The 13,817-nt window shown below is 43.9% G+C and overlaps 1 protein-coding gene across 50 annotated transcripts in view; it reads left to right on the top strand.

Annotated features, from left to right (window-relative positions):
* The window catches only part of ZNF618 (zinc finger protein 618), a 180,285-nt gene that overhangs the window by 157,639 nt on the left and 8,829 nt on the right, over nt 1-13,817 (top strand). For 26 of the 50 annotated variants that reach the window (XM_017014242.3, XM_017014243.3, XM_047422732.1 and 23 more), the window contains one exon: nt 2,353-2,430. In XM_017014242.3, coding sequence (XP_016869731.1) covers nt 2,353-2,430 — 78 coding nt within the window. Of the gene's footprint in view, nt 1-1,243; nt 1,289-2,352; nt 2,431-13,817 lie in introns of all 50 variants that reach the window. The other 24 variants (XM_005251692.4, XM_017014241.3, XM_017014248.3 and 21 more) reach the window with 1 other exon arrangement.

Below are 13,817 nucleotides of genomic sequence, written 5' to 3' on the forward strand. Positions count from 1 at the left end.
TAACAGGAGCTCCACTTCGGGCTGTTACTCACATATGAACCCCAGCTCCACCACTTACTAGCTGGTGACTTAGGCTAGTCTCTGAATTCCTCCTCTGCTGTAAAGTGGCTTGATGAACACACACAGCCCCGTGGTGGTTGTGAACATTCAGTGAGTCCCTGGCACAGATTACATACTCAGGTGTTAGGGTTTTTTGGTGGTGATAGTTGGTCATTTTTATTTTTTAAGTAAACCAAGTGATTTGATGACTGCTTTGCGGAAGGGAATGAGGTTTTGAACAACGTAATCCACCCAACCTCTCCAAGAGGTGGGCCTGAAAGGGATGGAGTGACTTGCCCAAGGCCACACAGGAATAAGTAGTAGCGCCGGGCTGGAACCGAGGTCTCCAGATGTGCCCTGTGCTCCCAGCCAAGCCATGCTGCACCCCCATGCGTCCCCTGCCCCCAGAGCTAATATTCACAATCGGGAACGATAGCGCAAGCACTGCTGCTGCTGCTGCTGCTGTTGGCAGCCACCATTGATTGAGCGCTTACTGTGTGCCTGGCATGTGTTCAGAGCTTTATATGTCTTATCTGTCTTCCTCCTTTCCACAGCCCCATGGGGGTCAATGTTATTGTTATCCCCACTTTTTGGAGTGGGAAACTGAGGCTCAGGAGAGGTGGATTGCTGCCCTAGGTCCCCCAGATTATAAGTGGTGGAGCCAGGATTCCCCATCTAGACCATCTGGCCCCGCTGTGCTGCCTGCTGCGTTTGAGGCTTGCCAACCTCTGGCAGTGCCAGGAAGTGAGGGAGAGATGCCAGCCAGCAGGAGCCCTCCAAAGCACAGCCGCTCTTGGTGGCTGCTCTGGTGTTTGGTACCAAACATCCCCACCCTGGTGCCAGAACCTAGAAGTAGCTGCCAGCTCCCTGTCCTGAAGTGAGCTGCCATGCAAGGATGTCTTCTCACCAGTACTCATGTGTCCTCACTCTTTCAGAGTGTAGGGTGTCCCGGAGGGATGGCAGTGACTTGTCTTGCCCTGCCTGGTGGCCCCAGCACCCACAGTAAACCTTGATCCTCTGAAAGGCATGGCCTCTGTGTCAAGCCTCCCTGCAACCCCACCCCAGATTGTGAGCCTTCCTCTCGGATGCTCCCCACTCCTCTGAAAGCCCCATCTGGCTCACTGGTTATTAAGAATAAAAATTATGACTATCAGCACAGAACAGCAGAACTAGAAGAGATGGCTAAACTGTTTCTCTTTTGCAGAAACTGCAAGTCCCCTGATTTCCAACCCTTTCCCTCTCCTACAGAGTAAGTGATGGTCCCGTTGGGGGGCTGGAGAGGGCAAGGCAGGGCAGGGAAGGAACTCAGCCAGCCACGTGCTCCTGGAGCCTCCAGGCTGTGTGAGATGGGCCTTGGGCTGCCCTCCCGGGCAGACCCGGCAGCTGGTGGAGGCAGGCCGAGGTCCAGCCCTGGGCGGGTGGAGCAGTTTGGACGGGGTGGGGCAGAGCCCTGACCAGCAGCAGCCTTGGCTCTGCTGCCCCAGCCCTGGCAGGAGCTCAGGCCTTCCCATTCACGGTCGTCGGGCAGCCTCAGGACACCTCTTCCGAGCCCCATCGCAGCCGTCTTTTTCTTCTTTTCCTTGCTCTTCTTCCCACCCCTCTTTCTTTTTCCTCTTCCTTCTGTCCTTCTCCCTCTTCCTTCTCTCCTCCTCCCTCTTCTCTGCCAGGCACTGACGTGAGTGCTAAGAGTAGAGAGCTGAGTGATCCAGGCCCCTGCACCCCTTGTGCCTGTTCCTACGCGTGCCCTCCCTCACTCCTCCCTCCCTCTCCTCCCTTTCCGCATCAGATCCCCACTTCCTCCTGCTTCTCTGTGGCTTTTTCCACTTCTTACCCTTTTCCTTCTTGTTTTCCTTATGTCTGTTACCTTGGTTTTTATTCATTCATACATTCATTCATTTGTTCACTTGGCAAATAGTGACCTCATGTGGTTCCAGAGAGAGAGCTGGGGCTGTGACACCCTGAGACTCAGTCTCTGCCCCAAGAGGGCCGTTGGTCTGTTGATGTTGATGTTGTCCTCCCTACCCCCATCTCAAGTGCGCCGAACAGTGGCTGGCACGCAGTAAGCACTCAATAAATAGCTGCTCAATTGAGCTAATGGTCTCTCTCTGCATGGCTTCCTCTCTCCATCATTCCTTCACCCAGCTTCTCCCTCATGGGTCTAGTGACGGGGGAGGCAGGCAGGCTGGGCCCGGAGCCCTGAGCACAGAGACCCGGTGTGTGTTTGGGTTCCCACTTGCAAAGCTGCCTGCAGCCCAGCAGAAGGTGTCTGCGTCGGTTCCACCCCTCACGTGGCTGCCGCATTTCTCCCTCCAGAACCCTACACCTGCGGCGCCTGTGGGATCCAGTTCCAGTTCTACAACAACCTGTTGGAGCACATGCAGTCCCATGCAGGTAAGTAGGATACGGCTTCTCTCCCCCTCTCCTTCCTCAGTTCCTGCAAATTGAAGAGATGGTTAGGGCCTGACCTGAGGCCCCTGGAGAAGGCCGCTCTTTCCTGGAAAATGGTCACAGGACATGGAACCTGCTTGCAGGGAGCCCCAGTCAGTCAGTTATTAACACAGGCTGGTCTGTGCTCTGCAGGTGGGGGCGGTGGGGAGGCAGCACAGGCTCTGTGGGAACACGGAGAGGTGGGACAGAGTTGAAGAGACTTCCTGGAGGTGGTGGCCTCTTGGCTGGTCCTAAAGGCCAAGTAGGAGCTAGCCTGGAAGCGAAATGTGCAGGTGGAAATGGAACATGGTTTGAGATCAAGGTGAGCAGAGACAGAAGGTGGGGATGGAGAGACATGCAGCCCAAGGCAAGCTGGGCTAAGGCCCACCTCAGAGCAGAGTCTCATTCACTAACACCCTATGTCCCAGAATGCAGTTGCGCCCAAACCTGAGGACACATCAGAATTACCAGGAGGGCTTGCTTGAGCACAGATTTCTAGGCTCCATTGTGAATTTCTGATTCTGTAGGTCTGCAGAGGTGGGGACTAGGATTTGCATTTCTGGTAAGTCTTAAGACAGTGCTGATGCTACTGGTTCAGGGACCGCCCTTTGAGAACCACTGCTCTAGAGCTACAGGTGCAGTCATCTGCTCTCTAGGCAGCCTTTTTATTACATTTCACCACGGCATAACACAAGTCTCAGGGAGACAGTATGTGCTGGAATAAGTAAATAATTCCAAATTCTCAGTGGTTAAACATACAGACCATTTACTTCTCACCCACATTATAGCCCAATGCACATGATCTAGTTGGGTGGCTTCCACATGGTGATTCAGGGATCAAGGCTCTTTTTTCTATTGGCTCCGTCCTCCTCTAGATCTTCAGCATCCTCTCTCTTTGTGGATGGGGAGAGAGACTATGGGGCAAGCACACTTCTTTACCATTTCAGACCACAAGTGACACCTGTAAATGCTCAAATTCCAGTGTGGAGAATTAGCCACATGACCAGCCTGAACCCATGGGTGGAAGCGTGTCCAGAGCCACTGTCCCGGGACAGTTGGCCACTCTGCAAAGGGAAACGTGAGTCTGGGGAGGCAGTTAGCTGTCCCTCCACCCCTTTCCCCAGAGGAATTCTCTAGAGGCATTAGAAATAATGGGTGAGACGTGCCTGACATAATGGTGCTCAGTAATTGGTAGCTGCTGTTATTTCACCTGTTATTGTTATTGTACAAATCTTTCACATCATCTCCCAGGTCTGGCCTGACTGGCATAGAGTATTACAGGACTAGAATCTCTTTTAGGCTAAGTACTGTTCTGTTAGCGTAGTCTCTATCATTCATTCATCCATCCAGCATATATTAATTGGGTATCTGCTGTATATTAGGCATGAAATCAGATGATCTTTTTGGGGAGCCTATTATTTATTTCTAATGAACTTAAAATCAGGACAGAGCTCTGGAGTGGCAGCCAAGGCACTTGCCTCGGAGACCTGCTCTAACTGGTGTGTCTGGGTGCTGTGTGACCTCCTGCAGGAAGCTGTGTCTCCATCTCTAAAGCAAGGGCCTGAAAATCCCCTTCCCCACACCACGCTTCCCGCCCCCTGCTTTCCTTTGCTGTCAGCTGTGCCTCACCAGGGAAGGCCTTGAATGCCAGCTCAAGGTGTTTAGACCCCATGGGGAAGCAGGATCCTCGGGCTAGGGACAGCAGTTGGCAGGCTGCTTGGGAACCACTGCCTGAACATATCGCTTGGTCCTGAGACTCCCACAGCACAGCCTTCTGCACTCCTCCTCTGAATCCTCGGCACTCTGCCTGCGCCCTGCCAGCTTCTGGAAGCTGAGCTGTGATTAGGGAAGAGCCTGGGTGCCAGTGCTTTCCCATCCCTGGAGGCCATTAAAATGCAAATCAGGTCTGAGCTTTGAGGTGGCCCCACCTCTCCCAAGCATCTTGACTTGTTTTCGGAGTGGAGCCGTGGGCTGCTTTGTTCTGGTTCAGCGCAGCCAGAGAATGCCTGGCCGGCCATCCAGCGCAAAGCCAGGCTGAATCCCAGCCACACTGAATCGGGATTAAAGGCTTGGCTCCATAGAGAGAAATTAAGCATCATGAGCTGCGCAGTTCACAGCGCCGACGATAAGGAGGATCAGCCTTGAATAACACCAATCTCATTATGGAGCTGCTGAATGGCACAGGGTAATTCCCGCTAATAAACTTCCTTTCTGTGCTGTAGGAAAACCTGGCGTGCCTTGGTGACGTTGGAGAAGCATGCTTTGGCAGTAATAATACCAAAGATAGCTACAATTTTGTGAGTGCTTTCTATGCGTCACTTGTGGCACTGAGAGCTTTACGCAGGTTATTTCATCAGATCTTCCTGATTAGGTAGTTGACGTTTTCATCCCCATTATGCAGATGATGAAACCGAGGCTCAGAGAACATAATCACTGGCCCAAAGTTGCACAGCTCCTAAAAAAAGTATCCAATAGCATTTGAGCTTTTACGTGGCGCCAGGCCTTGTTCTAAGACTTTTACATATATTCACTTATTTAATTCTCGGAACAACCCTCAGAGTTAAGTGCCCATAACAGTTCCACTTCATAGCTAACGAAACGGAGGCACAAACTGGTTAAGTAACTTGTCCAAGGCTATGCAGTCACTGTGGCAGGCTATAGATAGGATTCCAGTTCTCGCAGTGAACTCCAGAGCCCATGCTCTCAACATCCACCCTGTGCAGCCTCAGGTAGACCCTGATGGAAGGTTAGCAGAGATGGAAGCCCTCTCAGAGGTCATCTCTTTCAGCCTCCGCGTTAAAGTACAGCCAGGAGGACCGCAGCTAAGAGGGATTGGGAGACTTTCCAGACAGCAAGCAAGCTGGCAGCTCATGGGTTTAGGATTTTGGAGGTGACCACACCTGGTTTCTTTCTTTCTTTCTTGTTTGTTTTTTTTTTTTTTTTTTTCCTTTGAGACAGAGTCTCGATCTGTCGCCCAGGCTGGAGTGCAGTGGCACAATCTCAGCTGTATACCTGCAACTTCCACCTTCTGGGCTCAAGCGATTCTTGTGCCTCAGCCTCCCTAGTAGCTGGGATTACAGGCATACACCACCATGCTCAGCTAAGTTTTGTACTTTTAGTAGAGACAGGGTTTCACCACGTTGGCCAGGCTGGCCTTGAACTCCTGGCCTCAAGTGATCCGCCCACCTCAGCCCCGCAAAGTGCTGGGATTACAGGCGTGAGCCACCATGCCTAGCACCACACCTGGTTTCTAACCCCTTTGAGCCACTTTACCTCCCTGGACCTCAGTTTTTCTGTCTGTGAAGTGGGTTTATTGGTATTCTCAGCAGGGCTGGGTTGAGGGTTCCAGAGATGACGGATGTAGAGTATCAAGGGCCATGGCACATTCTAAGACCCAACAACAGCAGATGCCTCTTTTTCCATCCCTGTCAGAAATACCTGCTTTCTCCTGCCTGCAGTGGTCTCTCTCTGGGAAGCAACCTTTATTCCAGCTTCGCATCCAGCCCTTTACAAATGTACATGTGGGGGAGGGGGGAGGACACACAGGATAGCCACACCGAGGAAACCTTATTTTCATCTCAAGCTATAAATCAAGCCTTTCACAGAGCTTTTAACTCATTTGTATTGGGAGTGGTACCTGTGGCATATGGAGAAGAAAAAGTCTTAAATCAACCAATATTATACATTGTTATTTAATACAAGTTGAAGAATCTCAATTCTAAGTCCTATGGAAGGGCAGAGAATAAGAATCATTCCTGCAGCTTACCCTGCCCTAGCACTTTGGATGGAAGAGAGAAAACTGAGACCCAGAGAGTTGAAGTAGCCAATTCAGTGTCACACCATCGCAGAACTGGGTTCATATCCAGGGTTTTCACATCTCTGTACTGTAGTAGAGAAAGTAAGAAAGGCTACTTGTTTTCTTTCTTTTTTTTTTTTTTATTGTACTTTAAGTTCTAGGGTACACGTGCACAACATGCAGGTTTGTTACATATGTATACATGTGCCAGGTTGGTGTGCTGCACCCATTAACTCGTCATTTACATTAGGTATATCTCCTAATGCTATCCTCCCCCCACCCCACAACCGGCCCCGGTGTGTGATGTTCCCCTTCCTGTGTCCAAGTGTTCTCATTGTTCAATTCCCACCTATGAGTGAGAACATGCGGTGTTTGGTTTTTTGTCTTTGTGATAGTTTGCTGAGAATGATGGTTTCCAGCTTCATCCATGTCCCTACAAAGGACATGAACTCATCCTTTTTTATGGCTGCATAGTATTCCATGGTGTATATGTGCCACATTTTCTTAATCCAGTCTATCATTGATGGACATTTGGGTTGGTTCCAAGTCTTTGCTATTGTGAATAGTGCCGCAATAAACATACGTGTGCATGTGTCTTTATAGCAGCATGATTTATAATCCTTTGGGTATATACCCAGTAATGGGATGGCTGGGTCAAATGGTGTTTCTAGTTCTAGATCCTTGAGGAATCGCCACACTGTCTTCCACAATGGTTGAACTAGTTTACAGTCCCACCAACAGTGTAAAAGTGTTCCTATTTCTCCACATCCTCTCCAGCACCTGTTGTTTCCTGACTTTTTAATAATTGCCATTCTAACTGGTGTGAGATGGTATCTCATTGTGGTTTTGATTTGCATTTCTCTGATGGCCAGTGATGATGAGCATTTTTTCATGTGTCTGTTGGTTGCATAAATGTCTTCTTTTGAGAAGTGTCTGTTCATATCCTTCGCCCCCTTTTTGATGGGGTTGTTTTTTTTCTTGTAAGTTTGTTTGAGTTCTTTGTAGATTCTGGATATTAGCCCTTCGTCAGATGAGTAGATTGCAAAAATTTTCTCCCATTCTGTAGGTTGCCTATTCACTCTGATGGTAGTTTCTTTTGCTGTGCAGAAGCTCTTTAGTTTAATTAGATGCCATTTGTCAATTTTGGCTTTTGTTGCCATTGCTTTTGGTGTTTTAGACATGAAGTCCTTGCCCATGCCTATGTCCTGAATGGTATTGCCTAGGTTTCCTTCTAGGGTTTTTATAGTTTTAGGTCTAACATTTAAGTCTTTAACCCATCTTGAATTAATTTTTGTATAAGGTGTAAGGAAGGGATCCAGTTTCAGCTTTCTACATATGGCTAGCCAGTTTTCCCAGCACCATTTATTAAATAGGGAATCCTTTCCCCATTTCTTGTTTTTGTCAGGTTTGTCAAAGATCGGATGGTTGTAGATGTGTGGTATTATTTCTGAGGGCTCTGTTCTGTTCCATTGGTCTATATCTCTGTTTTGGTGCCAGTACCATGCTGTTTTGGTTACTGTAGCCTTGTAGTATAGTTTGAAGTCAGGTAGTGTGAGGCCTCCAGCTTTGTTCTTTTGCCTTAGGATTGTCTTGGCAATGCGGGCTCTTTTTTGGTTCTATATAAACTTTAAAGTAGTTTTTTCCAATTCTGTGAAGAAAGTCATCGGTAGCTTGATGGGGATGGCATTGAATCTATAAATTACTTTGGGCAGTATGGCCATTTTCACAATATTGATTCTTCCTATCCATGAGCATGGAATGTTCTTCCATTTGTTTGTATCCTCTTTTATTTCCTTGAGCAGTGATTTGTAGTTCTCCTTGAAGAGGTCCTTCACATCCCTTGTAAGTTGGATTCCTAGAAATACCAAGGCTATTTGTTTTCATTGGAAATTGTGTTTCCCCTTTGTGAATGTAAAGTCTGTCTATGAAAATAAATGCATTCTCTGCATTGGGAAAATGCAGAGAGGTTAGAAAGTAAAGAATCGACCATAATTTCACTATTCAAAGCTAATCGCTGTTACCAACTTAATAGGTTTCTTTACAGTTTATTTTAAAATATGACTTACAGAGATATAATTTACTAGACAAATAAAATTTACCAATTTGAAGAGTACAGTTTGATTGGTTTGGACAAATGTGTGCTGTTGTTTAACTACCATCACAATAAAAATACATAACAGTGGCTGGGCTTGGTGGCTCATGCCTGTAATCCCAACACTTTGGGAAGCTAAGGAGGGAGGATTGCTTGAGGCCAGGAATTTGAGACCAGTCCCTGGACAGGGACAACATAGCATGACCCTGTGTCTAAAAAAATAAAATTAAAATTAAAAAAATTTAGAGCAGGTGCAGTGGTTCACACCTGTAATCCCAACACTTTGGGAAGCTGAGGCAGGAGGATTGTTTGAGGCCAGGAGTTTGAGACCAGCCCTGGTCACCACAGCAATACTCTGTCTCTACAAAAAAATTAAAAATAAGCCATGCATGGTAGCACGCCCCTGTAGTCCCAGCTACTTAGGAGGCTCAGGTGGAGGATCACTTGAGCCTGGGAGGTTGAGGCTGCAGTGAGCTATGATGGTGCCACTGCACTCCAGCCTGGGCGACAGAGCAAGACCCTATCTCTAAAATATAAAAATAATATTACCATCAACCCAGAAAGTTCCTTCATGCCCCTTTGCAGTCATTCCCTTTCTCCTACCCTAGCCACTGGCAGGTAACACCTGCTTTCTTTCATTGTAGTTTTGCCTTTAGTGGATTTTATTATATATGGAGTTCTACGGTATTTAGCCTCTTGTGTCTAACTTCTTTCACTTAACATACTTTTGAGGTTTGTCCATGTTCTGTGTTATCAATAATTCCTTTATTTTGCTGAGTTGTATTTCATTATCTAGATATATCACAATTTGTTTATCCATTCACCAACTGATGGTCATTTAGATCTCCAGTTCGGGGCTATTATGAATAACGCTGCTATGAACATTCATGTACAAGTCATGTATATGTGTAGACACATGTTTTTAACTCTTTTGGGTATATACCTGGAAGTGGAGATTCTGAGCTGTAAGGTAATTCTGTTTAATCCTGTGAGGAATTGCCAGATTGTTTCCTAAAGTGGCTGCATCATTTTTACATTTCTACCAACAGTGTATGAGGATTCTAATTTCTCCATATCCCTGTCTACACCTTTTATCATCTTCCTTCTTGGTAATAGCCATCCTAGTGCATGTGAAATGGCATTTCATTGTGGTTTTGATTTACATTTTTCTGACAGCTAATAATGTTGAGCATCTGTTCATGTGCTCATTGACCACATTGGCAAAGGATCTGAATAGACATTTCTCCAAAGAAAGATATACCTAGTAATGGGATTGCTGGATCAAGTGGTAGATCTACTTTTAGGTCTTTAAGGAACCTCCACGCTGTTTTCCATAGTGGTTGTGCTAGTTCACATTCCCACCAGCAGTGTAAAAGTATTCCCTTTCCACCACATCCATGCCAACATCTATTATTTTTTGATTTTTAAATTATGGCCATTCTTGCAGGAGTAAGGTGGTATGGCACTGTGGCTTTGATTTGCATTTCCCTGATCATTAGTGATGTTGAGCATTTTTTCATATGTTTGTTGGTCATTTGTATATCTTCTTTTGAGATTTGTCTATTCATGTCCTTAGGCCACTTTTTGATGGGATTGTTTATTTTGTTCTTGCTGATTTGTTTGAGTTCTTCATAGATTCTGGATATTAGTCCTTTGTCAGATGCATAGTTTGCAAAGATTTTATCCCACTCTATGGGTTATCTGTTTACTCTGCTGATTATTTCTTTTGCTGTGCTGAAGCTTTTGTGTTTAAGTCCCATCTATCTCTTTGTTTTTGGTGCATTTGCTTTGGTGTTCTTGGTCATGAGTTCTTTGCCTAAGCTAATGTCTAGAAGTGTTTTTCTGATGTTATCTTCTAGAATTTTTATGGTTTCAGGCCTTAGATTTAAGTCTTTGATCCATCTTGAGTTGATTTTTTGTGTAAGGTGAGAGATGAGGATCCAGTTTTATTCTTCCACATGTGGCTAGCCAATTATCCCGCACCATTTGTTGAATAGGGTGTCCTTTCCCCACTTTATGTTTTTGTTTGCTTTGTTGAAGATCATTTGGCTGTATTTGGGTTTATTTCTGGATTCTCTAGTCTGTTCTATTGGTCTATGTGCCTATTTTTATGCCAGTACTATGCTATTTTGGTGAATATAGCCTTGTAGTATAGTTCGAAGTCCGGTAATGTGTTGCCCCCAGATTTGTTCTTTTTTCTTAGCTTTGCTTTGGCTATGCAAGCTCTTTTTTGGTACCATATAAATTTTAGGATTGTTTTTTCTAGTTCTGTGAAGAATAATGATGTTGTTTTGATGGGAATCGCATTGAATTTGTAGATGCTGTTGGCAGTATGGTCATTTTCACAATATTGATTCTACCCATCCATGAGCACGGGATGTGTTTCCATTTGTTTGTGTCATCTATGATTTCTTTCAGCAGCGTTTTGCAGTTTTCCCTGTAGAGGTCTTTCACCTCCTTAATTAAGCATATTCCTAAGTTGTTTTTTTTGTTTGTTTTTTTGTTTTTGTTTTTTTGGTGGGGCAGTTTTTTGGCAACTTTTGTAAAAGGGGTTGAATTCTTGATTTAGTTCTCAGCTTGGTCACTGTTGATGTATAGCAGTGCTACTGATTTGTGTACATTGATTTTGTATCCTGAAACTTTACTGAATTCATTAATCAGTTCTAGGAGCTTTTTGGACAAGTCTTTAGGGTTTTCTAGGTATATAATCATATCATCAGTGAACAGCCTTTGCCCATTTTTAATTGGTTTTTTTTGGATCCTTTTATGATTGAGTTGTGAGAGTTCTTTATATACTCTAGATACAAGATCCCTATAGATAGATTATTTGCAAATATCTTTCCCATTCTGTCGGTTGTCTTTTTACTTTCTTGATGTCCTTCAAAGTATGAAAGTTTTTAATTTTGAAGTCCATTCATCTATTTTTTTCTGTGCTTTTGGTGTCATATCCAGGCAGTGGTGTCAGGAAACCACTGCCTAACCCAAGTTCACAAAGACTTAATCAGTTCATATGTTTCCTTATAAAACTCTAAGAATTTTATACTTTTAGCTCTTACGTTTAGGTCTGTATTCCATTTTGAGTTTATTTTTATATGTGTGTGAGGCGGGAGTCCAATTTCATTCTTTTACATGTGGGTATCTAGTTGTCCCAGCACCATTTGTTGAAAAGACTATTATTTTCCCCCATTGAATTGTCCTGATAACCTTGTCAAAACTCAGTTGACCATAAATGTAGGTGCTTATTTCTATATTTCCAGTTGTATTCCTTTGATCTATATGTCCGTCCTGTGCCAGTATTACACTGTCTTAATTACTATAGCTTTGTAGTAGTTTGGAAATCAGGAAGTATATTCCTCCAACGTTGTCCTTTTTCTAAATTGTTTTGGCTATTCTGTATCTCTTGCATTTCCATATGAATTTCAGGATCAGCTTGTCAGTTTTTGCAGAAAAACAACAACAATATGGATTTTGATAAGGATTGTGTTTAATCTAGATGAGTTGGGACATTCCATGTTCATGGACTGAAAGACTTAATATTTTAACAGTAAGTCTTCCAGTCCATGAACATGGAATATCTTTTCATTTACTTAGGTCTTATTTGAGTTCTTTCAACAGTGTTTTTAGTTTTCAGTGTTTAATTCTTACACTTTAAAATTTAATGGTAAGTAATTATTTTCAAAGCTATTATAAATGGAATTGTTTTCTTAACTTTTGGAATGTTTATCACTAGTATGGAAAAATGCCATTTTGTTTTATATATTGATCTTGTATCCTGCACCCTCGCTGAATTTATTACTTCTAATTGTTTTGTATGTATGTGGATTCCATAAGATTTTCTATATACACAATCATGTCATCTGCAGTTAGAGATCATTTTACTTCTTCCATTCCAATCTGGATGTTTTTCTTTTTTTACCTAATCGTCTAGCTAGAACTTCTAATACAGTCATGCACCACATGATGTACATGATGGACTGCATATATGACAGTGGTCCCATAAAACTATAATATCCTATCTTTACTATACCTTTTTTATGTTCAGATACACAAATATTTACCATTGTGGTACAGTTGCCTGAAGTATTCAGTACAGTAACGCACTGTACAGGTTTGTAGCCTAGAAGCAGTAGGCTATACCGTATAGCCTAGGTGTATAATAGGATATACCATCTAGGTTTGTGTAAGTACACTTTATGATGTTTGCACAATGACAAAATCTCCTAACAACACATTTCTCAGAATATATGTCCAACATGACTCTACATGTTGAATAGAAGAAATGAGAGTGAGAGTGAACATTCTTACCTTGTTCCTGATCTTAGGGAGAAAGCTTTCAGTGTTTCATCATTAAGCATGATGTTCGCTGTGGGGGTTCTGGTAGATGCTCTTTATTAGGTTGGAAAACTTCCCTTCGATTCCTAGTTTATTGAGTGTTTTTATCATGAAAAAGGTGTTAGATTTTGTCAAATGCTTTTTCCGCATCTATTGAGATGACCATGTGATTTTTGTCTTTTACTCTATTAGCGTGGTGTATTACATTTATTTGTGTATGTTTAATCAACTATATTCCTGGAGTAAATCCCACTTGGTCATGGTATGGAATCCTTTATCTATGTTGCTGGATTATTACATCACAGGATCACAATTAGGCAGCCAGGTTCATAGCAGAACAGTAATATTGAAAACAGCAGAGCCAGAAACCTAGGACTTGGGAGTGTGGTTAAGCAAGCTGTGATATATCGTATATGATAGAAGTGCATGTGGCCATGGGTAGTGACAAGAATGTGACTCAGACCATTTCCTATTTAGAAATGATCCCATAAACATGTCAAGGAGTAACCATGCATCCAGGAGAATAGGCATATACCAATTACTTATAACTGGATACCACTGCATATGTGCAATTAACAAAAAACTAGAGAAGTATGTGGAGGACACATCCAGGAACTGGGAACCTGGGATTATGTCCAGCCCTGCTGCTGTTTTCTCTGTGATCTTGGGCAAATCTTTTCTTATATCCGAGCTTCAGTTTCCATGTCTTACAGTGAGGGGTTTGATAATTTGGTACTTTGTGTCACACATGGCTTTGGTTTTGTTTTGTTCATTTCATAAAATTTCTAGTAAATATACTTAAAAAATGCAAACTTTGCGAAAGTGAGAGAGTATGAGGAGTTTTTGGCCACTTGGGGGGTGTAGCTGGTACTCCCTCCCTTCCCTCCATATCAGCTAGAACTCTGTGGTTGTGTGCAGGGAGTAGGTGTGGGGTTCCCAGCCAGGCTTGGGATCCAGTGCTTCCCATTTCCAGAGAGTTTGCTCCATACCACACACTGTGCTCAGCTCTTCCTGGATTAGCTCTTGTTAGTCTTACCAGCAATAGTGTAATGTCCATATGATTACCTTAGTTTTTCTAAATGATGAAAATGAGGCTTTGCAAGCATAGATAGTTGTCTAAGGAGGAGCCAG

Source organism: Homo sapiens, chromosome 9 (assembly GCF_000001405.40).
Source record: "Homo sapiens chromosome 9, GRCh38.p14 Primary Assembly".
In the NCBI taxonomy this organism is placed as follows: Eukaryota; Metazoa; Chordata; class Mammalia; order Primates; family Hominidae; genus Homo; species Homo sapiens.